Raw genomic sequence first — 26,382 nt, 5'->3', positions numbered from 1 at the left:
GAAGAGCTGTTCTAATGTTCCAAAATCTATTCGTTGGTCAAAACATTTGGTAGCATATGAAGCTTTATACAGACTAGGGATATTGGAAAAGAAATGTGACTTTTAAAATGACACCTAAAACATGCATTCGGTGTCTGGTCTGTTAACTAGGGGCCATCTGGGTCAATAACAAGTTACCTCATGGAGAAAATGCAATAGGACCAAACAAGGAAGGAAATAGGAAGTAACTCAGTCTCTCTTGGGTTTAATGCTAACCTGCTAAGGTCAGGCAAAATTTAAGTGGATTTAGAAACCATAAAACCTTCTAGTGAGATGAATGCAGTGACAAAGGACCTTTGACCAGAGAGTCAACTCTTCATTATTCGGACTTTAAAGCCATCTTTTTGGAGGTGATATTGTATTAGGCAATCCGTTATTTACTAGACATTGCAGAGCACCCCTTCTAGATGATGAGGCGGATATAGGGGGAGTGAGGGCTGTGGTCCATTCGGTTGGGAAGATGGAACACGCAGATAAATCAGTGTGTGCTACAGTTCCACCGGTAACTTCACTCTCATAAGGTGGATTCCAGAAGCATCTTGTTTCCATTATCCCCCCAGTCCTCTTCCTCTCATCTAGCCAGTGGCTGTAATACTGAGGTGGAGAGAACAGTCATTGTTTAAGCTGGCTATCTTTTGGCCTGAGGGTTTGGGGTATGTTGATATTTGTCGGTTACTATGACTTCTTTTTTTTCCCCCCTCAATTGCATCAAACCCTTAAAACATGGTGGTAAGTGAGCGATATGCATGCTTTTGGAGTTTGTTTAATCTCCGCTTCAGTCTATACGATGCACAGTTCATAATGTTAACACTTTTCTTCAAGTTTACTTCATTCACTTTCACAACTAATTTGGATTTCAGTTTGCTGTTTAATCCTCATTTACTTTGGTTTCTGTATCTTTTTTCTGTAATTCTGTTCTTTCCCTCTCCCCTGACTTCCCTGTTAGGGGTCAAGTCGTTTTTTTGTCTGACCTGTAGGGGAGAGTGGTGCTGCAGATAGTGATTCAGTCCAGGAGAGTGGGGAGACATGAGGCTCTTTTGTTTGTCAGTGTGAAAGTGGATTTGGGGAGACAGATGAAGAGGGCTCCTGGGATTTTGCCCCCTTGTGAATCTCAACTGCTCCCACTTGCAGGCATGGCAGCTATGCCGGAGGCACTGTCGCTAAAACACCTCCATGCAACCCTTTGCATGTTACCAGCTTGTTGGGCTGGAAAGTGACATTACTAATCAGACACCAGGGAATACCCACACTCCAAAAGGAAAAACAGCCCGTGGTGTGAGGTGCTTGGGTTGGTGCCTACAGTGTCATGCTTTGAAAAGATTAGCCTGGCTATTGCGATTCTCCCTCCCCTGCTTTTTATTTTAAATTTGGGAGTAGATTGGTGTATTCTTGATTCGGCTCTCTTGCATTAGAATTTTGTATTTTCGAGTGCACAGCCAGAGCACTAAAAGTATTCCAAGTTTGCTCCTATGTCTTTTCATTTAAATCCCCAAAGTGCTTAGTTCCTAGCATGTAGCTGAGCTGGCTTGGCCGGGATGCTGAGCATTAGGATGTTGTGAGGGGAGAATTTAGGCTGGGCTTTTGTGTCTTAGTACCTGGTATGTCTTTGTATCTCTCCACTGCATACACAGCACACAGATGTCTTGGGTGTCCTTAAGTCTTAGTTTGTTCTCTGTACCCGTTTGATAGTGTATACTGTTGTTAGTAGTGGACTCCTGTGGACACTAGTGTGTCGCTAGCCTATTGTTTTGGCTGATGAGTCATTGGTTTGTGGTTAGTTCTTTTTTTTGAAATCCTTTTTTGCTCCAGTCACTGTGTGTGCTGGCGGTGGCTTTGCCTCTCCGTTGCCTCGAAGGAACAGGTGGAGCAATGTCTCCCTCTGACAGACATTACTCCCGACATGTGCTCCTGCAGATGCCTACACTGAGACTGTAATCTCCATAACTGCTTCATGTGCACCAAGCCCCCTTGTGGAATCCTGCTGAGAATTTTTCTAGAAGCCTTCAGTGAAATCAAACTGTTCTGAATCATTTAGTTTACCTGACTTTTGTATAATAAAAACAAACTAAGAGCACTTACTTGTTCCCTTCCCCTTGTGGGTCTTTTTAAAACATTCTCTCTCTGTGAATGTGTATCTCTGCTTAAAGGGGATCAAGTTGCACTTAGTTGAAACACGAAAGACTTATAAATCAGAATCATAAAGTATCAATTTAAGAAGGCTTAAACTCATATAATGTCAGCTTTTTGATTTTAAAAAAGTTATCTCATGGCTCCCCTGGGTTTGGCTTCTGGTTTTGGCCAGGGCACAGGAGTGAGCCTGTCTTTCTGAAGTCTTTTCTAGAGGGATGTCACCACTGTTCAGCTTTCCTCGGTGTGTCACAGAACATCCTCTGGTATACATACACTTGTTGCTGGCATAGCCCAGCATGGCTGACCCAATTTAGGTTGAACTATTGTGATTGCCTCTTCTCAATCTCATTCTCCAGACTAAAGACTCTTCTAAAGATTACAAAACAGCAAGAAAAACAGAGTGCCCTTTGGGGAAGTGAGGATGTGTGGCTAAATGTACAGATGGTACACATCCATTCACATTGCAGGATTGAGCCAAAACTGCATGCATTCACCACAAGAAAACAAACAGCAGGATTTTACAACTGAAATGTTGGTTTGTCTTCTCATCTATTTAAGAGTGAACCACTGGAACTTGGGGACAAGATGAGTATAACAATGTTGCAGCCTATCTGTCCGCTACAGTTGCAGTTTTTCATGACAAGCATTCAAAGTGTTAACTAAAACCATTGAAACAACATACCTGCCATTTAAACTTGAATCTAGAAATAATAACTCCATGAGTGTTTTGCACCTCCAGATGGAATGGCCTTTAATAAATGCTGTGAGTAGCCATGATTGCCACTTGCAGTTTGCTATTCTGTTAATCCTTATGCAGAATCTAACAGTTTTCTCCTTTCTTCTCTTATCTCTCATGGATTTTTAAAAAACTGAACACCATGTAGATGATGAACCAGCTGGACCAATGTAAGTACTTTATTGGACATTGATTCAACAGTATCTGATTGAATGATGTTGTGTTTGCAGTTTAATCAAATGGAGTAGCTAAGATTGGAGGGGAAGACAGTGAGTGGAAATGAAGGTTGCAGTGTAGATTTCTTAGCTTGACACAGATCTGACTAAAAACCACTTGATTCTCAGGATAGGTTATGCAGTCTTGTTTTCCAGTGGCCATACAAAGTGGAATACCATGCAAAAAACTTTTTTTTTTTTCAAATTTTGTGTATTTGATATACTTAAAATGTGGGGGAAATGGCCAGTATATCTGAGGCTCCCGGTTTTGTCAATGTTAAAACGTTTCTGATCCCAAGCATTTCAGATGAGGAATACTCAACCTGTAGCTACTTAAGGAATGTTTTTTTATGCACTCATATTGTGCCACAAAATTTCTCACTACACCAGGGATGGTAGTAAAAGGGTCCCTGTATTTCCATGTGTTATACTTTCAAAAGTTGTTACTGACCGAGTTTAACTCATGTAATGCAATTTGAGGCTGAACTATAGCCTGGATAAACTGTCTAGCCCCATTAACAATTGCTCGTATCCAAGAGAGAGGGTACTGCAGGTATGGAATCAATCTAAGATCGGCAGAATCTCCTAGAGTTGGACTAAAGAGTGAGAAGCAGACAAACAGCACCCAAATTTGTTAAGTACCAGAGGGCCCAGCACTGCCAGCTTATGATTACCTTTTATCAAGAAGGGACAGTGGTGTTGTGTTCAGTGGAGAAAAGTTTTACATATTCTCACCTGTATCGTAATTATAGTTCCGGATTCGAAGGGAAAGTACTCGTCTGCCTTGGGGGTCAAAAGGAGGATAAAATGAGGTATATACAGGTTGAGTCTACCTACTACCAAAATCCATAATCTGAAATGCTCCAAAATCTGAAGTTTTTTTTGTGTGCTCACATGAGGCTCAAAGGAAATGCTCATTGGAGCATTTTGAATTTTGGATTTTCAGATTAGGGATGCTGAACTGGTAAGTATAATGCAGATATTCCAAAATCTAAAAAAATTCAAAATCTGAAACATTTCTGATCCCAAGCATTTCAGATGAGGGATACTTAACCTGTAGCTACTTAAGGAATGTTTTTTTATGCACTCATATTGTGCCACAAAATTTCTCACTACACCAGGGATGGCAGTAAGTGAAAGAGTCCCTGTATTTCCATGTGTTATACTTTGAAAAGTTATTGACTGAGTTTAACTCATGTAATGCAATTTTTCCTCCAAAGGAAAACCAACTCTACCAACAATCACAAAGATAAAAACTTGCGCCAGAGAAACACAAATTAAGTACTGCTTACAATGTAAGTATGGCCTTCTGTAGCAGTCTTAAAAATTATATTCAAATGAATGTGCCTCTATTGACCTTGTTACAAATTCTTCAGTAATTGGTGTTATAAGATATTTTAGTTCATTTCAGAGCAGCTGATACTGATGAAGCCAGTTCTGTCTGCCCAGTTTAGGGACTGGAAAGGAACATTTTTCAGCTGCGTTGTTTTTTGTTGTTGTTTGGATTTTTTAAGATGGAGTCTCACTCTATTGCCCAAGCTGGAGTGCAGTGGTGTGATCTCGGCTCACTGCAACCTCCGCCTCCCGGGTTCAAGCAATTCTCCTGCCCCAGCCTCCTAAGTAGCTGGGATTACAGCTGCCCACCACCATGCCCAGCTAAATTTTGTATTTTTAGTAGAGACGGGGTTTCATCATGTTGGCCAGGGTGGTCTTGAACTCCTGACCTCAAGTGATCCGCCTGCCTCAGCCTCCCAGAAGTGCTGGGATTACAGGCATGAGCCAGTGTGCCCCGCCATCAGGTGCATTGTGTCACATGTTTATATAAATGCCATTTCAGAAGACATATTTTAAAATCAACACTTTTCACTACTATTATATCTTTACAAAGAGGTGAAAATTGTCACCTTCTTAGGTGGCTTATTCCCAGAGGCCTACTAGTCTTACCTCACGTCTGGGGGCAAGACAAGAATGGCCAGGTAGCAGCAGGGCCAGAATGTCATCTTGTTAGGCATATGGAGATCAGAATTTCACACCACATCCCTGAGCGTGCTGTTTGAACCAAAGTTTTGTGTGGCACACGGTGTAGTTGTGAGTGACAGTGCATAATCCCTTTATAATTTCCAAATACATATTTCTTTACAGATCTTTAGGTTCCTGAAACTGGTGGCAACATGACCTGCTAAAATTTTCTGCTTGGACCTCTTTGGTTCTCTCCCCTTTCAAGTGAGCAACACCACAATGACTGTCTAAAGCATGCCTTATTTAGCCTCTCCTGTAAGGGTGATCTAGCCAGGTACATTTTAAACAATGCTTCAGTGTAGAAGGTGTAAACTATTTTGGGCTTGATGTGCTGTGAATGTTGCTTTTTTTTTTCCTTTGTTAAAATATTTAAATAGAAGTGAAAAGGTCCTCTGAGGATCAGATCATGCATGCGCCATTTTTTACTTAATGCAGCTGTTAAATTGGCAAAGCTCTAAAATGCACTGCTGCCATCTAGTGATACACTTTTGTAAAGTACAGCAAAACCTACAGATATATACAGTATATAAATATATATATATATATATTTATATTTTTGGGGGTGGGAGAAATCCAAAATAAAGTAAATGCTTGTTTCATTTTTAAGCTGCTGATATTCATTCCTTATTGTATGTTGTCAGATGAGGAAATTGTGCAGTTCTGGTACATAAAGATGAGTAATATAAACTGAAATCTATAATTTTAAGGGCTTAACCTGTGACTTTAATAAGCTGGAACAGTCCACTGAATGGGTATAATGAATTGCAGTATATACGTATGATTGCTTTTTAAGTGATTATCTTTTCTTCTGTTAAGTCATGTAAATTCATAAATCCTTTTGCACTGATGTGTTGAACCTTATTCTTGTACATTCATTCAATCAAGGCAAACTTTTATAATTTTTCTTTTGTTTCCAATGACCTTGAAATGTTATAGCATGGTAATATTCTATGCAACTATAGTTATACTTTTTGGTTTGACACTGTATTTTTTCACATTGATTTACTGGTTGATGATAGATTTTATAACCTAACGGTTCTCATGCGGTGCGTAATTGTAGATGCATGTACTTGTGTGTTTTGTGTAATTATTGAAGTGCAATGATGTATAAAAAAGTGGATTCACCTGTTTTTAAAAATAAAACATTGATAAAAGGTGTTTGGATAATACTCTTTATTCTAATATCTTCTTTAATTTTAGGAGGAAGCATTTTTCAATACTTTGAAGTTCCTTAGTTATATATGTATATAGAGCATTAATTTCTCAAACCCGCCAGCTTTTTCAGTTCCTTTTCTACCTCTTCCACAAATGCTGGGAAATTCTGATCCATAAGGCACAAACGTAGGAAGGGGCCTAACTCTTCTGCACCCCATGCAGATTGTTCATAGACATGGGGCAGCTCCTCCGATGCCAGAAGAGTCTGCAGGGATACCAGAAAAGTCGTTACAGATTACAGGTAAAAGCAATACCTGGCTAATAGAACACAGGCAAATAGTGCTTTAAGGAAAGATTAGCGAAATACACACCAAAAAAATTAGTGTTAATTAGCTTTACAGGCTTCCTTTACATAGTTTTACTGTTACATTTACAATTTTGTATATTAATATGTATTCTGAATACACATAGCATGTGAGATAATCTTGTTGCCCTAAGGAAAGAATTTCAAATGTACTGATGAAATGTTTGCAAAGTTGAGATTCTACTTTAATGAAGAATACTGTGCTGATAACCTGTGGATTGAAAACAAACCTATCAATGCTATCAATGAATGAGCTCCACTAGCTCAGTTCATCTTCGCCACAGCATAGGTGGCAGAGTGGATGTGAGCAGCCTACTATGTGCTAGCTGCATTCTGAATGTAAGAAAGAGGCCACAGACTCCCAAAGGACATTAGTTCACACGCATCTTTTTCTGGCCATCTGTGAGTTTTGACAAATAGTCGTGTAACTGTCACCACAATCAAAATACAGAACATTTCTTTCACTTCCCAAAAAAATTCCTTTATGTGACCCTTGTGCTAACCATTACCGTCAAACCCTTAACCCTTAATAACTACTGATCTCTTCTCCATATAGTTTTGCCTTTTCCAGAATGTCATATAAATGAAATCATAATACGTTGTTGAATCTGGCTTCTTACACTTAGCATAATGAATACATTTGGGATTAATCCATGATGTTGAGTATAGCAGTAATTCATTTTTATTGCTGAATAAGTATTACATTGCATGGATGTGCCACAGTTTGGTTATCTGTGCTCCAGTTGAAGGACATTTGGGTTTTATTTTTTTGCAATTATGAATAAAGATGCTATAAACATTCCCTTACAGGTTTTTGTGTGAACACAGGTTTTCATTTCACTTCAGTAAATACCTAGGATTGAGTCATGTGGTGAGTGTATATTTAACTTTGTAAGAAACTGCCAAACTGTCATCTATAGTGGCTGTCCCATTTACATTCCACTAGCAGTGTAGATGAGAGTTGTAGTTGCTCACCCATCCAGGGTTTGGTATTGTCAGTTTTTCTTTTTGTTTTTAATTTAGGCATTCTAATAAGTTTGCAGGATGTCTCATCGTGGTCTTAATTTGCATTTGCCTAATGACTAATAATGTTGAGCATCTTTTCACATGCTTATTTGTCATCTGTATGTTTTCTTTGGTAACCTGCAGTGTTTTAAAACCAGTTGAATAAGTTGTCAACGTTTAAATATTAGGAGAGTTCAAATAAAAATCTTGACAATTTGGAAGATCTGGCAACACCGGATCCACAGTCCCACATGACGATGATGGGCTCCAGTTCTGTGTGGTCCACTTACTTTGGTGCATTGACTTGGTCATCTTATTGACTCCTCACATTAATTCTGTGAGGTAGGTGGTTTTATTCTTTACGTGGATAGCATGTTTTAGTGTGTAAGTACATAACTGGTATTTCTCCAGGAACTCTCTGTAACAGAAACTTACTTGGGATATACAGCACTTGTTTTGTTTATTTTTAGAGATGGGGGTCTCAATATGATGTTAGGCCAGGCTAGTCTTGAACTCCTGGCCTTAAATGATCCTCCTGCCTCAGCCCCCCAAAGTGCTTGGGACTACAGGTGTGAGCCACCATGTGCAGCCTACATCCCTTGTATTAATTGCATTTCTATCCCATCTGTGGTTATACCTCACTTAATATCCTATTAAATGAACATTTATGTTGTTTCCAATTTCTTAAGCATTGTGATGAACATATGTATATTTGTGTAGTTGAAATGAAATTATAGCTAACATAATATTAAATTTGATATGTACTGCTAAATTGCCTTCCAAAAGGTTTTACCAACTTACATAGAATGACATGTCCAAAAGATAAGAGCAAGTAAGTAATGTATCTGAGCTCCAAGCTTCATGCTTTTTCTCATTTGTATATGGTTCTTCCATACTACGTAAATAAACTGGGCAAAGGTATGCCTTTTCTAGCAATTGATATTTCCTAAATAAGGACATCACACCCTGCCTTGCTTATTGTTTTATTGCAGCTCTGTTTTCCTCAGCTTCTCTGATTCAGTTAGCCCCTAACCCCAATGCAAATATGGGCATTAGTCCTGCTGCTGGACAAATAATTTTTTTCATAGTTAGGGGTTTATTAAAAGAAATAAACATGAATTCTTAGTCTTCCTACCTCTTGAGTTTTTTATTCTATATGATTGTCCATTTATTTTGAGTTAGTGGCAAGCCAGATGGAGAAAACCCTTTTTTTCTTTTTTTTTTTTTTTTTTTAAACTACTGATAGTACAGTTTAGTGGAGGGATTAAAAGAAAATGTGGCCGGGCATAGTGGCTAACACCTGTAATCCTAGCAATTTGGGAGCCCAAGGTGGGGGAATCACTTGAGGTCTGGGGTTCAAGACCAGCCTGGCCAACACAGTGAAATCCTGACTCTACTAAAAATACAAAAATTAGCTGGGCGTGGTGGCACACGCCTGTAATCCCAGCTACTCAGGAGGCTAAGGCAGGAAAATCACTTGAACCCAGGAGACAGAGGTTGCAGTGAGCCAAGATCGCACCACTGCACTCCAGCCTGCTGGGTGCTGAGGCATGGTGAGACCCTGCCTCAAAAAAAAAAAAAAAAATCATACTTGAAGATTGATGAACTTCACACAGAATTCTGTGGCAAGCAGAAGCTGCTGGCTTGAACACCTGCAATGAGGAATGCAGTGAGGGGGAGACAAAGTCCTTGCAGAGCTCCCAGGAGAGTGGACGTCACACAACCATAGTTTTGAATGAAGAGGTTTTGCAGCAGGGGGCAAGGGGCTGTCTGAAAGCAAGTCTGAGTTAACAGCTGAATCCTCCTGGGTTTCACATCCTTAGCTGAGTACTAACAATCTACCCATATAGAAATTGTTGTAGATCTGAATCCACATTCATTTTGATATTTGTCTTAAAATAGTTCCCAAATTTCATTTCCATAATTACAATGGAGTCCTCCATTTATTCTTTTTTGGGAAAGTGGTGATTAAATTTTCTATATTGGACATTCAACCACTTTTCCCCGTTTTATTTCCTTAGGAGGGTAGATCTTGACTATGTGCCTGCAGCCATCATGTCTCACCTCACAACTTACTGTAATAAAACTTAACTCTGCAAGGGGTAGATGAAAATGGCCCGTCTCTGTCTCTATCACCTTTTAGAGTAATGCTTTAGAAGTTTCTCTCCTAAAACAAAGAATTGAACAAAGGGATACAAATTCTTAGGGGTCACTGCTTCTCATGACAAGAAAATTGAACACAGAAATAAGCTCTACCTGAGCTAACTGCGTCAGTGAGGTCCTTCCGTCTGGAGCGCCTGTGCCCGCTGTTACACACACTTGCTGTTGTTCTGAGTGCTGGTGGGACTGGAATAAAACAACATGCAATAAGGAGACTAGCTGAATGTAATCTTAAATACCAAAGGCCATTAAAGAGCAGAAATATGCATTCATGTTCAAAGAAAGAAAATACCACTAAGAGTGATAAAAATGGTTGTCAGCATAGGTCTGTCCTGGTTTAAACGGAGGGTTACTTGAGTTACCACAGCAGAAGTACTGAGTTTAAATTTGCGGCTCCTGACCTCTATTTGATGTTCCTCAGCAGTTGGCAGGCTGTTAGTGCTTCTTCCTGTCAGACACTGGGGCATTCCTCTGTTGTTAGAGGCCCAGCCTAGGATTCAGGACCAGGTGCTGGAGGGTGGGCCCGGTGCTGTTACCATGGCAGCCTACATGCAGTGGACGGACCCCAGCTTCTGATGATTTGTCACACTCTAAAAATTATTGCTCAAGTAATACATGTTCATTGAAGAAATGCAAAATGGGGGGAAACTCCTATAATTTTAAGACAACTGATGTTTTCAATAAAATGATTTTTTTAAATCTCATTTTAGATATTCTGAAAGAATCAGTTCTTCTGTAAGTAAAACTTACAGATATCTTCTTTCAACAACTGTTTATACCTCCTACGTACTAGACACTGGGGTGGTACGGGGATAGGAGCGACAAAGAACAAGATAGTCCTGCCCTCTGGAAGCCCACAACCCAGTGAGAACCTAACAAGTAAAACCATGAATTATCTTGCAACTCAGGAAGTGCTAGAGGTTCACAGAGAAGTGGGTAAACTGGAGGGCTGTATGCTAAGCAGGAAGTACAGGGATGCTCTAAGGTCCATGCTATCTGGAGAGAATCTATGGTAATAAGTTGTTCTCGGGTAGGACATGGGATGCTTTCCAGGCAAATGGAATGAACAAGGTGCAGGAGGTCTGGAGGCATGAAGGGCCCTACCTCCGTTCCTTCCTAGCCACATGTCTGCAGGCCCCAATATGCCTTGGGTACCTGAGGTTGCTGCAGTGCTAATCTCCAGACGAGCAGTGGTGATCCTACACTAGGTATGAGCTCATGGTGCAATACAGGGAGGAAACAGGGCACTCTTTGGAGGGCGCTTCTGTCCTTCAGCAACAAGTCTGACTACCAGAAGGCAGGAGATGCCAAATTCTGTCTTCTGTCCTACAGAGAATCTGATGGTTGCTAGTCAGTAGGTAGCAGGAAACCAGACCTGGAAGCATCAAACAACAACAAAAAAGAGGGGTGGAGGTACAGTGAGGAAGGAAAGAACAAAGACAAGAAAACAAAAAACGAGCAAAATGGCCAAAGGGCCAAAGGACTCTATAATCAATAGTCCTTAGACAAGCCCCATTTCTCTGTTCAGTTTCTTCAGTTTTCTCCTCTGTAAAAACAAGGCAGCCTCTAGTGCCTAGTGTTTCTTCAGCTATGACATATGATGCTTTCCTAGAATACCTATCATTTCAGCTCACACAAAGAACTAATGTCAACCAAAATTGTCTGCCATAAACACTAAAAAATAGCTAAGTGGAACTGAAGCACCTGAGGCTAGCGGGCTCTAGGATTAGATGGTCCACCTCTGCAACAGCATAGAGATGGAAGAGTCTGTGCACACAGTAGCTGGAGTCCCCTAGCTACTTTCTTCTGGACTTTTTGTGCTAACAGGAAAGAGTCCACATAGGAACTGCGATCCTCTTAACTGTCTTTCCCATCCCCCTCCCTGGGGTGGGCTGGTTGCCTTTGAAGTGCTAAGGTTGAGAAATGCCTGGTTAAGCCACAATTAACAAAATTACAAGGCTGAGGAAAAGCAAAAACTAAAATATGAGCCAGTAAATGACTCAAGAACTTGAAATAGAATTATCTCTATTTGCAAAGAAGGAAATAACTATTTTATACTAAAAAATATATAGGTACTACAAAAATGACACACCTGAATGTAAGAGAGCAGCAAAATGACCAGAACCTTGGCCATGGCTTGTGCCGCTTAAGACGGATTCTGAGAAAGAGCACATGCTACCAAAATTTGTACAACAGAGTTAAGGGCAAACCTTATGTTTTGCCATTAGGAAAACTAGAATGTTCTAGGTGGTGCCTCACAAGGTCTGTACCCTGGTGGAATTTAATCCAATGGCTTTAACTTATCATCTGCTCTGCAGCTTCAGACACTGTCTTATCATGCCCTCTCTTGGCTCTGGAGGTTCTGATCCTTGCTAATTGACTAGGATGCTGATTTGTTCATTTGCAAGGGAAGGCACATCTGAAAGGGTAACATTGGTGGCAATAATAGTAATGATGGATTTTGTGATTATATTTGCCAGGCATTGTATTGGGTACTTTCTATACAGCATTTTAATCTCACCATTTTACAGATGGGGCTAATTGGCTTCCGTGAGATCACACAGCTACTAAGAAATAGGGCCAGGATTCTAACCTAGATCCATTTTGATACCAAAGCCTGTAGTCTTTGCACAACATCATGCTATCTTAGTCAAATCACCCAATTACAGTTCAGAAGAGTCCCTGAAAATAGAATCAAGAAAGGCATGAAAGTTTCCTAACCACTTCTCAGGTATTCCTACCTAGACATTTGGGACCAGTCTTTAACATCAGAGAGCTGGAGCCTTCATCTGGGGCTGTAGCTCACAACTCAGCCTGCATTTGTTACTGCATGTTACAACTTCAATTTATTTGCATTTGTAATACTTAGATAATTGTGTAGCCTGATGAGGTTCTAGCGTGATGTGACTTCATTACCTTTATAAGGAACTCCAGACTGAGTTCCCAAAATCTGGAACCCTTTTGGGTTTTTTTGTTACACTCCATACACTGGGTATACTATACTATCATCTGAATCTAACAGGCAGTGAAACATGAAAAACTAAAGGGCAAAGGATCATAAGCAATAAAATACCTTATAACAACCAACCCATTTGTAGGGAGGGGATTCTTAAGGAATATAGCAGGAGCTGAATATAGACGAAGCATTATTGTTTGAAACTAGATCCAGGGTTTGTGAGGCAAGCAGCTTCAGCATTAAGACATCTTCACAAAAATCAAACGAAGGGAAGGAAAACACCAAAATCTGTTTGGTAAACTAAATACATTCAAGAGGAAATCATGCAGCACCTGCTTAAAGAAAAAGATTGTATAATAAATAATGAAAATTTATGTTCACCTTAGACAAATTATGAGTAACAAGAAACTTAGTGACAGCTGGGTGCGGTGGCTCATGCTTGTAATCCCAGCACTTTGGGAGGCCGAGGAGGGTGGATCTCCTGAGGTCAGGAGTTCGAGACCAGCTTGGCCAACATAATGAAACCCCATCTCTATTAAAAATACAAAAATTAGCTGGGCATGGTGGTGGATGTCTGTAATCCCAGCTACTCGGGAGGCTGAGGCAGGAGAATGGCTTGAACCTGGGAGGCCAGGTTGCAGTGAGCCGAGATCGTGCCATTGCACACTTCAGCCTGGGCAACAAGAGCGAAACTCTGTCTCAAAAAAAAGAAACATAGTGACAAAACAGCAAAAATGAGGTGTTTTGGTTAAGGAAAACTAACATGATGAAGTAATGGAAAACCAGGTTTGGAAAAATCACTTCTCAAAGCAAATGCAAAACCCAGCTTGAAAGTAGTATCTCATCTCAAGAACAGAGGTAGGTGCTTATTCCAATAATATTTGAAACTGCCAAAGAAATGCAGAACACATATTTCTGGGAGAAATTCTATAGTCATGAGTCTCAAACTTTTTTATCACAAGACCCCTTATGAGGCCTTCAAAGAACTTTCATCTGAGTTACATTTATCTGGTATTTATCATATTAGAAACTAACACGGAATTTAAAAATGTTCATTAAAAATAATAAACCCACTTTACGTTAATGTTGAAAACATTTTATGGAAAATAACTTTTCTAAAACAAAATAATGATTTTTGCAAATCTCTTTACTACCTAGTTTAGTAGAAGGTGACTAGATTCTTATATTTGCTGCTGCATTCAGTTTGCTGTAATGTGCTGCTTTGGTTGAAGACATGAAGAAAATCTGGCCTCACACAAATTATAGATGGAGAAGGGAGGGGTATTTTAGAATAGCCTGTTCAGATAACTGTGGATATTCCTTGATACAACACCAAAACTCAACGAGTGAGTTGCTTAAAGTTAAGTTGCAATATAGAATCTGAAACCATGGCAATAAACTTGTTATACTGTTATATTACAATCTTTTAGCCTATCTTACACTTTTGAATAGCTCTTTATCCACGTATAATTTTGTGGCATTCAGGCATCGGTCATCTGGACAATACTGATTCACTGAATATACTGTCTTTCAAATATTGACACATTTCATCAGGTAATTACTTATAAACAAGTAAATCACATTTATTAATAGCACCTTTAGAAAAGTCTTCCGGGTTGGGAAGTTGTGAAGCTCATGTGGCAGATACAAGTTTTTCAAGATTCTAATTTTCACTTGGAAGCTTAAATTTTATCATTTTCAATAAATACTATCAGTTGTTTTCCTGAAGTGATAGTTCATTTCACTGATTTTTGAGAAAATGTCTGCCAAATACCCAAATCTGAATTACCATAGTCTGTTGTTCTCTCACATAATGATGGTATTTTATGAAAAAAGAGGCTAGTTCAAAATACAAATGTCACACAGGTGCGTTCCCTTGAGACAGCCATGGTACTGCAGACTGCAGGGTTATTTCGTTAGTTTGTTCTTACTGCGAATGATTGGAACATGATGACTATTAGTACAGTTTGGTGCCACTGCCTGATCTGTATGAGATGACAGCAGCCTTACGATGCCTTTGTGTCATCAATTCAAATGTTGACACAGTGAAAAAGGCAAGTGATACTCTTTCTTTAAATATTAAGAAAAATAATTTTGACCTTGTGGGCCCCCTGGAAGAGTCCTAGGGAGGGGTTCGTGGACCACACTTTGAGAACCACTGTTCTGTAGTGACACCCAGAATGCAGCTGGAACTCCTCCCTGCCTAATTTCTGAATAGGGAGCTACAATGAGTATCGACCTCAATTTTAAAAAGTCACCGAACATAGATGTTTTTTAAACTACAAACCTAACAGACTTGACAAACTCCACTGTCATTTTGGCCACTCATTGTGCACTGCATTGTCATGTTTCCTGTATAACCAACACATCAGCCTACTTACTCCAGGCTGCCGTGGGACACTCTTTGCAGAATCCTTCCCTTGACTTTCAGTTGCCCTGGGTGGGCCAGGAATCAGCTGAAGCTCCTGGATGTTTCCATCAGGCACCTGCACGGTTATGTATTGTGCCAGCTTCTGAACACAACTGCAGCAGTGTTCCAGCGCCTGCTCCTTTGACTCTCCACTGAACTGTACTCGAAACAGGCGACTCTTGTCCTGTTTGACAAATCAAAAGTTATCATGAGAGACCCTCATCATATAACTATTTACTTTGGGGTCTTCCACTGAGTGTTTCCTTTGCTTGGCGGAGGAAGAGGTATAGATAAGGGAACAGTCATCTTCACTTATTGATGCAGGCATAGAAAAGCCAATAATTCATTTTCTTCCCCCTTTTGGGAGTTGTTCATCATACTAAAATTCACTTCCCTCTGGGAAGTGACATCAGCAACAGTGGAAAAGCTCATATCATAAAGACAGGAAGATCACTATACTGATTGCAGATCAGTGTTTTATCGTGCTTTGGAATAAAGATTTCATAGCTTCTAATTCCCTAAGTGAAAAATCTGTGAGGATAATAATACAGCAAGCATAGTCCTGCTCAAAACTTTTCTAAACTGAGTAATACCAAACCAGGTAGATAACTATGTTAAACAAGGCAGTGAGCTTAAACAATACTGGGGAAGAGTGACAGGCAGATGCTCAAAGCTAATAGATCTCATGCTAATGATCTGTAGTACCCTTTATCCTTAAAGAGGCCAGACTACCATACAAGTTGCATAGTGAAAGGCTGTCTTTAATTTGCTGTATGAGTCACATCCCTTGGCAAATTAGCAAATGTGGGACAGATGCAATTAAAAAATTTTAAAAATCTGTCAACTACATCAAACTTATTTGATTACAAGTATAAAAACATCTAAGTGTAAAAACATCTAGATTATAACAATAACATAAAACCATTTTAGAATAGTTTCCCTTTTTTCTAGTCTACTACTCTGCCTAGTTTAGAGGAGTCAACCTACATAAAAGCCTCCCGAAACAGGACTGTATATATTGTATACCTTTCATCAGTTTCTTCTGTAAAGAAATGTAGATGCTAAGCTTAGCACAGTGACAGTCCTTTTCCCTCATGAAATATATATACCATGTTGCTTCCTTGAAAACACTCCTAACTACAGTTAACAAAATCCTGTAAGTTCCTATAAGCAAATAAATAGTCCTTGATTTTCCTGTTCATAATTTACACTATTTAAATAAACCCATCAAGTAAAGCCATATATTTAGATTACAGAAAACTCTTGGCATGGCTGAGATAATGGTAAGCTATCATGTTTAGAAGAATAGGCACCACTGCCCCTTTTCACTGCCAGTATTTGGTACTCTTTATATTTTAATTCATTTAATTTTTCCCCCTGAATATAAAAGTCATCCATTATCATTATCTTATCCAACATTGGAAAAAATATGAAGAGTCATATATATCTGTGGGTGTATAAAAGAATATATACAAACACTCATGTATATTTAATTTCTAAAATTTTAGGTACATAGGTGTGTATATATTTATGAGGTACATGAGATGTTTTGATACAGGCATTCAATGAGTAATAATCACATCATGGAAAATGGGGTATCCATCCCCTCAAGCACTTATCCTTTGTGTTACAAACAATCCAACCATACTCGTGTATTTAAAAATTTCCATTATCGTCATCCTGTTGTGCTATCAAATACTAGGTCCTGTTCATTCTTTCTTTTTTTGGACCCATTAACCATCCCCACTACCCTTCCCAGCCTCTGGCAACCATCCTTCTACTCTTTATCTCCACGAGTTCAATTGTTTTGATTTTTAGATCCCACAAATAAGTGAGAATATGTGATGTTTGTCTTTCTGTGCCTGGTTTATTTCACTTAACGTAATGACCCCCAGTTCCATCCATGTTGTTGTAAGTAACAAGATCTCATAATTTTTTTTTTTAACTTTTATTCTAAGTTCAAGGGTCCAAGTGCAGGTTTTTTACATAGGTAAACTTGTGTCATGGGAGTTTGTTGTACAGATTATTGCGTCACCCAGGTATTAAGCCTAGTACCCATTCGTTATTTTTCCTGATCCTCTCCTTCCTCTACCTCCAAAAGGCCCCAGTGTGTGTTGTTCCCCTCTATGTATTCATGTGTTCTCATCATTTAGCTCCCACTTATAAGTGAGAACTTGTGGTATTTGGTTTTCTGTTCCTGTGTTAGTTTGCTAGGGATAATGGCCTCCAGCTCCATCCATCTCTACAAAAAATATTTCATGTTTTTATGGCTGCATAGTACTCCATGGTGTGCATGTACCATATTTTCTTTTTCTAGTCTATCATTGATGGGCACTTAGGTTGATTCCATGTCTTTGCTATTGTGAATAGTGCCACAAAGAACATGCATGTGTGAATATTACAGAAGGATTTATATTCCTTTGATTATATACCAAGTAACGGGATTGCTGGGTCAGATGGTGTTTTAGGTCTTTGAGGAATTGCCACACTGTCTTCCACAATGGCTGACCTAATTTACACTCCCACCAACAGTATATAAGTACAACTCGCCAGCATCTGTTATTTTTTTACTTTTTAGTAATAGTCATTCTGACTGGTATGAGATGGTATCTCACTGGTTTTGATTTTCATGTCTCTAATGATCAGTAATACTGAGCTTTTTTTCATATAGTTGTTGGCTGCATGTATGTCTTACTTTTAAAAAGTGTCTATTCAGGCCGGGCACAGTGACTCATGCCTATAATCCCAGCTCTTTGGGTGGCCAAGGCAGGAGGATCACAAGGTCAAGAGATCGAGGCCATCCTGGCCAACATGGTGAAACTCTGTCTCTAGTAAAAATACAATAATTAGCTGGGCATGGTGGCGCATGCCTGTAGTCCCAGCTATTCGGGAGGCGGAGGCAGAACAATCACTTGAACCCGGGAGGTGGAGGTTGCAGTGAGCCTAGAGCACACCACTGCACTCCAGCCTGGCAACAGCAAGACTCCATCTCAAAAAAGAAAAAAAAAGTGTCTATTCATGTCCTTTTCCCACTTTCTTATGGAGTTGTTTTTTTCTTGTAAATTTAAGTTCCTTGTAGGTGCTGGATATTAGACCTTTGTCATATGCATAGTTTGCAAAAATGTTCTCCTATTCTATAGGTTTTGTGTTTACTTTGTTGATAGTTTCTTTTGCTGTGCATGGCTCTTTGGTTTAATTAGATCCTATTTTGCTTTTGTTGCAATTGCTTTTGGCATCTTTGTCACGAAATCTTTGCCTGTGCCTGTGTCCTGGATGGTACTGCCTAGGTTGTCTTCCAGCATTTTTATAGCGTTTGGTTTTACATTTAAGTCTCTAATCCATCTTGAATTAATTTTTGTATTTCTGTGTATGGCTAGCCAGTTATACCCATTCTGTGTATGGCTATTTTATGGCTGAATAGTACTCCATTGTGTATAAGTACCACATTTTCTTTGTCCATTTATCTGCTGATGAACACTTAGGTTGCTTCCATATCTTGGCTATAGTGAATAGTGCTGCAACAAACATGGGGGTGCAGATATCCTGATACATTGATTTCCTTTCTTTTGGGTACATATCCAGCAGTAGTATTGCTGGATCATATGGTAGCTCTATTTTTAGTTTTTTGAGGAACGTCCAAACTGTTCTCCATAATGGTTGTACTAGTTTACATTCCCACCAACCATTTAACAGGGTCCCCTTTTCACCACATCCTCTCCTGCATTTGTTATTGCCTGGCTTTTGGATAAAAGCCATTTTAACTGGAGTGAGATGGTATCTCATTGTAGTTGTGATTTGCATTTCTCTGATGATCAGTGATGTTGATCACCTTTTCATATACCTGTTTACCATTTGCTTTTTGAGAAATGTCTATTCAAATCTTTTGCCCATTTTTTAATCAGATTATTAGATTTTTTTTCCCTATTGAGTTGTCTGAGCTCCTTATACATTCTGGTTACTAATCCCTTGTTATATGGGTAGTTTGCAAATATTTTCTCCCCTTCTGTGGGTTGTCTCTTCACTTTGCTGTGCAGAAGCTTTTTAACTTAAAGTGATCCCCTTTGTCCATTTTTGCTTTGGTTGTCTACACTTGTGGGGTATTACTGAAGAAATTTTTGCCCAGATCAACATCCTGGAGAGTTTCCTCAGTGTTTTCTTGTAGTAGTTTTCATAGTTTGAGGTCTTCGATTTAAGTATTTAATCCATTTTTATTTGATTTTTGTATATGGTGAAAGATAGGAGTCTTGTTTCATCCTTCTGCACATAGATATCAGTTTCCCAGAACTCTTTTTTTTTTTTTTTTTCCTGAGACAGAGTTTTGCTCTTGTTGCCCAGGCTGGAGTGCAATGACACAATCTCGGCTCACCGCAACCTCCACTTCCCGGGTTCAAGCGATTCTCCTGCCTCAGCAATTTCCCAGAACTCTTTATTGAAGAGACTGTCTCTTCCCTCAGGGTATGTTCTTGTAACCTTTATCAAAAATGAGTTCACTGATAAATATATTTTTATAGGTTATATATATTGTGTGTGTATATGTAAAATACATTGCTGTTCTATAACATAATTTTTAATTTAACATCAAATATATAAAAATAGAAGTATACCTCATTACTTTCAATGGCTGAAGAGTATTCCTTTATTTAACTGGCCCCCTATGGATGAACATTTAGGTTATTTCCAGCCTTTGTTCCTATTATAAACCACAAAGCTTTAACAAGCACTCTTATACATACATCTTTGTGTATACATGCCTAAAAGCAGATTTGCTGGGTCAAAGGATGTGTGTAATTCATATTTTGGTACATAATGCCTAACTCCCCTGTGGCAAGACAGGGCTTATTTACTCCCACCAAGAATCTATGTGCCCATTTCCCTCCGACACTGAAGATTCTTTTTTTAAATTTTTGTCAACATACTAGGTTAACATAGTTTTTTAAAAATTTCATTTCTTTGATTACAAGTGAGGTTGACTATCTTTCTTATGCTTATTGGTCATTTGTATTTTTTCTTTTAGTGTATTACCTATTCATGCCCTTAGCCATTTTCCTCTTGGATGGATAATCCCCAGATTATCAGGAGTCATTGAAAGCCTACCTTCCCTGAGGAAGGGAAAAGAACTGATAAGAGACCTATACATTCAATCTATAATACTACTATGAATCTTCTTTTGTGAAATTAAACTGATTTCTTGTTTACAGTTATTTAGCTGTTTCCAACAGACTCTATATGAAGACATCTATATGAAGTACCCTTATATTAGCTATTAGGATTCTGCAATTAACTTTCTGACAGTGACATCAGCAACTGTATTTCATAGCTAGCTTTAAAAAGCTGTATGCACAAGCAGACACTAAGCATACAAGCAGGGCAAAAACCTGAGACCAGTTATATAAGTCTACAGGTATCTATATGTGAATGTATATAATAATCAGTTTGGATAGCTAGGGTTTTTTTTGGAGTATAATTCCAAAAAAGCAACAGAGTAGTTTACATGTCTAATAGCCTAACTGAAGTCTTGTTCCATGTTTGCTTCTGTAAAAATTTTAGAATTTGAGCTTATCATCTAAAGCCAGAAATACCACTTCAATGCATGTGGATCCAAGATAAAACCCAGGTACATCAGGAAAAATCTGAAAATTAGTTGTATCTCCATCCTATATCCTCAATGCCATAGGTTACCATAATGGAAAACTTTCCACTGGGTTAACCAGAGGGACTGCTAAAGATTGAAAGTCTTGATGAGATTTATTTTTATGCCATAATTAAAAGTCAGAAAGAGCTTCTTGCTGTGAAGTGAAAAGTTCTCAAGTATACCAACAATCACGAACTTCGCCAAATATACAGTCTCTAGTTTCTATCACCTAAGAAGATGGGCTCATAATTACTGTATCTGAAGTGGTGGCTTACATGTAAAGTTGCACCTGCCCTCCTTCAGAACACTTAATTTCAAGTTATAACAACTAATACAGACTCAAGGAAGCAAATTTAAGGATAAGTGCTCATCTCTTTTCACTTATCTACGTGTACTCACAAAGGGATTAGGCCTACTAAGTGCTGGCTCACAGGTATGAATAGCATCTCCATACAGAGATGCTTAGGCCACAGGCTCCACAGTAGGTGTTCCAAGGCATCGTCATGCCCTGGAAAATGTGGAGCCCAGTTAACATGACATAGAGAGCCAAGGAGACACTAGAGGCCTCATAAAAACCCAGTGGGTTTTCCCGCTGGTTTTAGATTCATCACCCAGGTTGGTAAGAAATTTTCCATTACCACTAAGACCCCAACTGAAGCAGTTTTCCCCACCGCTAATTGTGAATTCCTCTACTATAGAAAATGTGGAAGTACAGAAAAAGGTCTTAAACAGAGAAGGTACTTCAGCATTTTATTTGATTCTTTGCTTTGAAACTAAAAGGCAATACTCAAAGCCTTGGCTAGACGAAATCATTTTAAAAACTCCTCCGTGAGTTACTGGGAGTGAGAAGTAAAGAGGACAGTGGTTGTTTGGGTTTCCTTCTTTGAGCCAAAGTGCCCTTAAGATAAGGAATTATATGTCTATTGTTAGCCCCCTATTTGATCAGAATTGCTGGAAAAAGGGAAGCCTACCTTATAAGTAGGCAGAATTTATTCAACCTACTTATTTCAGTTCAGAGAGAAAAGAAATATAATGTTTACTACTCATAGAATTTATATTAAATTGCTATAAAAGGAATGAAAATTTTACTTCTTCCATTTGTCAATTAAATAATAGTGTTTTGGCATAATACTTGAAAACTAAAAGTTATCCAAGCCAAGATGCATCAGATACTCTTTGCCAGGTAGGGCAAAAGAAGAATCTGTTGGTTCAATGTCAACATATTACATCAAGTCAATAGATCAAAGGAGGAAGAAACCCATGATCTTAATACTTGTCAAAAAGCATTTGATAAAATGATATGTAATCCTGATAAAGGTATTAAATAAACTATAATTGAAAGAGAATCTGCCTTACATGATAAAGAATATCGAACCATTGGCTAGGCATGGTGGCACACTCCTGTGGTCCTAACTACTCAGAAGGATGGGGCGGAAGGATTGTTTGAGCCCTGAAGGTTGAGGCTGCAGTGAGCAGAGATCACAACACTGCTCCAGCCTGGGGGACAGAGTTAGACTCTTCTCAAAAAAAAAAAAAAAAAAAAAAAAGCCAGTTAACAGACAGAGATGGAGTTAATGTCTAAACACTACTTCCCATGCAAGTCAGGAAGACGTCAAAGATACTATAACCCTATGATTACAGCATTCTGGGAGATCTAGACAATTCGGTAAGGTGGGGAAAGTAATAAAAAATATAAATCATTGGAAAGAAATACAATTGTCTGTAAATTATAAAAACACTTTCCTAGAAATTAAAAAACAGTTAATAAAAGTTTAGTAAGGAGGTTAAATTTAAACTAATTCAGAAAAAAATCCAATAATAACTGGCTGAAAATATATTTGGGATAAAGAATACCATTTACAGCTAGGTGTGATGGCTCACACCTGTAATCCCAGCACTTTGGGAGGCCGAGGCGGGCAGATCACCTGAGGTCGGGAGTTTGAGACCAGCCTGACCAACATGGAGAAACCCCGTCTCTCCTAAAAATACAAAATTAGCTGGGTGTGGTAGCGCATGCCTGTAATCCCAGCTACTCAGGAGGCTGAGGCAGGAGAATCGCTTGAACACGGGAGGAGGTTGCAGTGAGCTGAGATCACGCCATTGCACTCCAGCCTGGGCAACAAGAGTGAAACTCCGTCTCAAAAACAAACAAACAAAAAAACCATTGACAATAACAGGCAAATGGTTCCTAGTTTTAAATGTTTAAAAAGTCTGTGCATACAGTATATACACAAATATATAAAATTATATAGCTACACAAATTATACGTAGTTTGAAGAAGAGAAAAACTAGGCAAAAGAAGCAGGTGATTAACAGAAGAAATACAAATGTTACATTACCATTCTCATCAGTTTTAACAAGAAATGCAAATTAAAGGAATATGCTTATTTCTGCCTGTCAAATTAGAAACTAGTTTTTGAATTTAAATTGTATCACCACGTTGGAGAGGATTTGGATAAATGAACATTCTTACACATTGCCAGTAGAGTAGAAGCAGGGACAACCTATCGGGAGGGCAAATTTATATAAAAAAAAAAAAAAAAGTGTATACTTCTAGGACTTCTATCTCAAGAACCCTGTAAATAAATCCTTATGAAAATCAGAACATTTTTATAATAGTGAAAAATTAGCGATGAGTTAAACCCTAGTGCATCCAAACAATAACACGCTACCAAGCCATTATGAGTGTTTTCTTTCAGAGACTATCTAATGACTTGGTATAATGTTCCTGATAAAAAGAACAGGATACAAAGTACTACAATCCCCATTTTATAAATTATCTATATGGTGGACACTCAATTAGCACAAGCCAATCCACAAGAGGGGCTGGAAATGTCAAACGCTCATTTTCCTAATCTTTGCAGTTTGGGACAGCCATATTACACTGGTCCATGACACATAAGCAGGCATCTTCTGGGGGTTGTGGGTGGTGGAGAGCTATATAGGAAAGTGGATGCTTTCCTTATAAAAGGGCCAGGTGATGCTGACCTTCCTTCAATGGAAATATAGTAGAGCTGCAGCAACCATTCTGCACCCAAGAGGGAGAGGCCAGGAGAATTACCGAGATGCCAACCTGGACACTGTTGAGTTGCTGGAGGATGCTAGCAAGGGCCTGTCTCTAGATTTCTTTTTTCTTTTTTTTTTTCTTTTTTTTTTTTTGAGACAGAGTCTTGCTCTGTTGCCCATGCTGGAGTGTAGTGGTGCGATCTTGGCTCACTGCAACCTCTGCCTCCTAGGTTCAAGCAATTATCTTGCCTCAGCTTCCCAAGTAGCTGGGATTACAGGCATCTACCACCACCCCTGGCTAATTTTTGTATTTTTAAAAAAGATGGGGTTTCATCACGTTGTCCAGGCTGGTCTTGAACTCCTGATTTCAGGTGATCCACCTGTCTTGGCCTCCTAAAATGCTGGGATTACAGGCATGAGCCACCATGCCCAGCCTAGATTTCCTTTTAAGTGAAAAAAAAAGAAATCTGGTTTTTTAGGCCATTATAGCTGATTTTTCTCTTACATGCATCTGAACACAATCCTAACTGATATAGTATATATGCTTAGTAAAACCTTCAGAATATTAATAATTATTTTTGAGTGGTCAAATTATGGTTGATTTTTATTTTGCTCTTTGTAGTTAGTTTAAAATTTTAGTAATAATGTATATTTAGAAAAATTTAAAACTCAAGTATCAAACATACAGCATGTATAACTTTTTCAGAGATCTATACATTCATTCAGTATGATATGGTCTGGAGCTAAGTCCAAAGATCAAAGGGCAGCCTGGTTCTCTGATAGCTAGTCATAACCTGGGCTATTGGCTTAAGTCAATTTCCTTATATGGGAAACAAAACAGGGGTTCTTGAACATTTTGGAGTGTGTGCTCCAGATCCCTGTGGCAATCTGGTAAGCCAGTGGACCCCTTCTCAGAACAATGTTTTTAATCACACAAAATGCACAAGTTTACAAAGAAACCAATTATACTGAATTAGTTTATTACAATATTAAGGCACTAATTTGTGAACTAATATATATGCTTCTTTATTAATGTATTTGATAATAAAGATCTAGTAGGAGGACTAATAAACACCTTAATTTTGAGGTAGTGATGAGCATAAACATTTGAGATGTCAGAAACAACTGAAATGTGATATGAAAGTATCTGTGATTTCCATTAGTGAGAAGGTCTAAAACTACTGTGGTCTGCTGGCCTTACATTCATAGTGGAAGGAAATGATACATTTCAATTAGAGGTCAGTGAAAATCCATGGAAGTTCATGGACCCCCTGAATTCTATGGAGACTCTGGGGTCTGTGTACCCCAGGTTAATACCCCTCCACTAGATAATCGTCTAACTCTCAGAGTCTGAGTCCCTCAAAAATTAGTATCTTTCACTTAAATTTCAATATTATCTACTCCATGAATGTTAACAGATTGGTTTTCATAGTTATTTTTGAAGGAAAATGATCCAGGTGATTAATATGACTGTTTCTTTGATGAAGATCATTCTTTACACTTAATACAGCTAGAAAGCAAGTAAAAGGGAAATTTTTTAATATTAAAAAGAAAAAATGAAAATACATATTCACTGAATCATTTGAAGGTATACACCTTTTTAAACATCCAAATCGCAAGACAAATGATGTACTCCACTTCCAATTTGTGCTTGGGGGATAGAGAATGGCTGCACAGCTCCATCAGACGCATACTGAGAAATCCATCAGAGCCTGACTCCTTAGCAATGTCCTCCTGCTAATGAGGCTTCTGCCTCTCTACGGTCCTTGTTTCATGTTTTTCTCATAGTACAAACCTTTCTTAAACATTTGTATTCTTCCCAGTACCCGTCACCTACCAAGAGATGCCCCCAAATACCTCCCCAACATACACACATAGAAGATGAGAAGAGTGTGATCATTAGCTTAAATCTTGCCTTTATCGTTGTTCCAAACAACAGACAATCCACGCGTCTTACAATCTTCAACCAGTCCTTGCTACCAATGAGTGAAAACCCTTCCTGAAACAAAATTAGGCAAAAATTAGCAACAGAAACAAAAATATGAAGAATAGCTATGGCTGCAGCTACTTCCTGTTAGAAAGTTGTATATTTGTTTATTGTGTAACTCAAACATAGTAGCAATGACTCAATAAAACCAGTTGCCAAGGATGACCCTTATACTAAGTCCTCAATGTCCTGGTGCTTTTCCTGCATGAGGAACGTAAGACAACTTTTTTTTCTTAATCTTTTTATGTTGAAAATCAATACAATACTAAAGATAGTTAAGTGTCCATAGTCATATTTGATATAAAATGCCTTTCTATGCCTCTAGGATTTGCCAAAATATTTTATATTCCCCCAAATCAAGGGTTCCATTATACTGATTTATTAACTTATCTGGCACGTCTCTAACTCCATAGTAAGAATTCTCTTCATAAGAATCTTATTTTCATATTCCTATGAATGGAAAATTTAAAGCAGTTTTCTTTTGGATACTGAATGTTTACTTCTTCATTTCCATCTGAAAAAACAAAAAAAGGCAAAGAGGGCAGTAGAGGGCACACAAGTCTCAAAT

The 26,382-nt window shown here is 38.6% G+C and overlaps 2 protein-coding genes across 9 annotated transcripts in view; one reads left to right on the top strand and one right to left on the bottom strand.

The window, feature by feature from the left end:
- Window positions 1–6,297, top strand: part of NPTN (neuroplastin) — a 73,376-nt gene extending 67,079 nt beyond the window's left edge. For 2 of the 7 annotated variants that reach the window (NM_001161364.2, NM_001161363.2), the window contains 3 exons: window positions 3,066–3,075; window positions 4,341–4,415; window positions 5,263–6,297. In NM_001161364.2, the coding sequence (NP_001154836.1) occupies window positions 3,066–3,075; window positions 4,341–4,401 (71 nt within the window). In that variant the 3' untranslated portion in view covers window positions 4,402–4,415; window positions 5,263–6,297. Of the gene's footprint in view, window positions 1–2,525; window positions 2,933–3,053; window positions 3,076–4,340; window positions 4,416–5,262 lie in introns of those variants that run through there. The other 5 variants (NM_017455.4, NM_012428.4, XR_007064440.1 and 2 more) reach the window with 4 other exon arrangements.
- The window catches only part of REC114 (REC114 meiotic recombination protein), a 116,850-nt gene continuing 96,765 nt past the window's right edge, over window positions 6,298–26,382 (bottom strand). Inside the window, exons 3-6 of one of the 2 annotated variants that reach the window (NM_001042367.2) lie at window positions 25,743–25,826; window positions 15,161–15,373; window positions 9,920–10,009; window positions 6,298–6,559 (exon numbers count right to left, since the gene is read on the bottom strand). In NM_001042367.2, coding sequence (NP_001035826.1) covers window positions 6,395–6,559; window positions 9,920–10,009; window positions 15,161–15,373; window positions 25,743–25,826 — 552 coding nt within the window. In that variant the 3' untranslated portion in view covers window positions 6,298–6,394. The remainder of the gene's footprint in view (window positions 6,560–9,919; window positions 10,010–15,160; window positions 15,374–25,742; window positions 25,827–26,382) is intronic. The other variant, NM_001348772.2, reaches the window with a different exon arrangement.

This window comes from Homo sapiens, chromosome 15 (genome assembly GCF_000001405.40).
Source record: "Homo sapiens chromosome 15, GRCh38.p14 Primary Assembly".
In the NCBI taxonomy this organism is placed as follows: Eukaryota; Metazoa; Chordata; class Mammalia; order Primates; family Hominidae; genus Homo; species Homo sapiens.
Note: the sequence above shows the minus strand (reverse complement) of the source record. Positions and strands in the feature narration are given on the sequence as shown.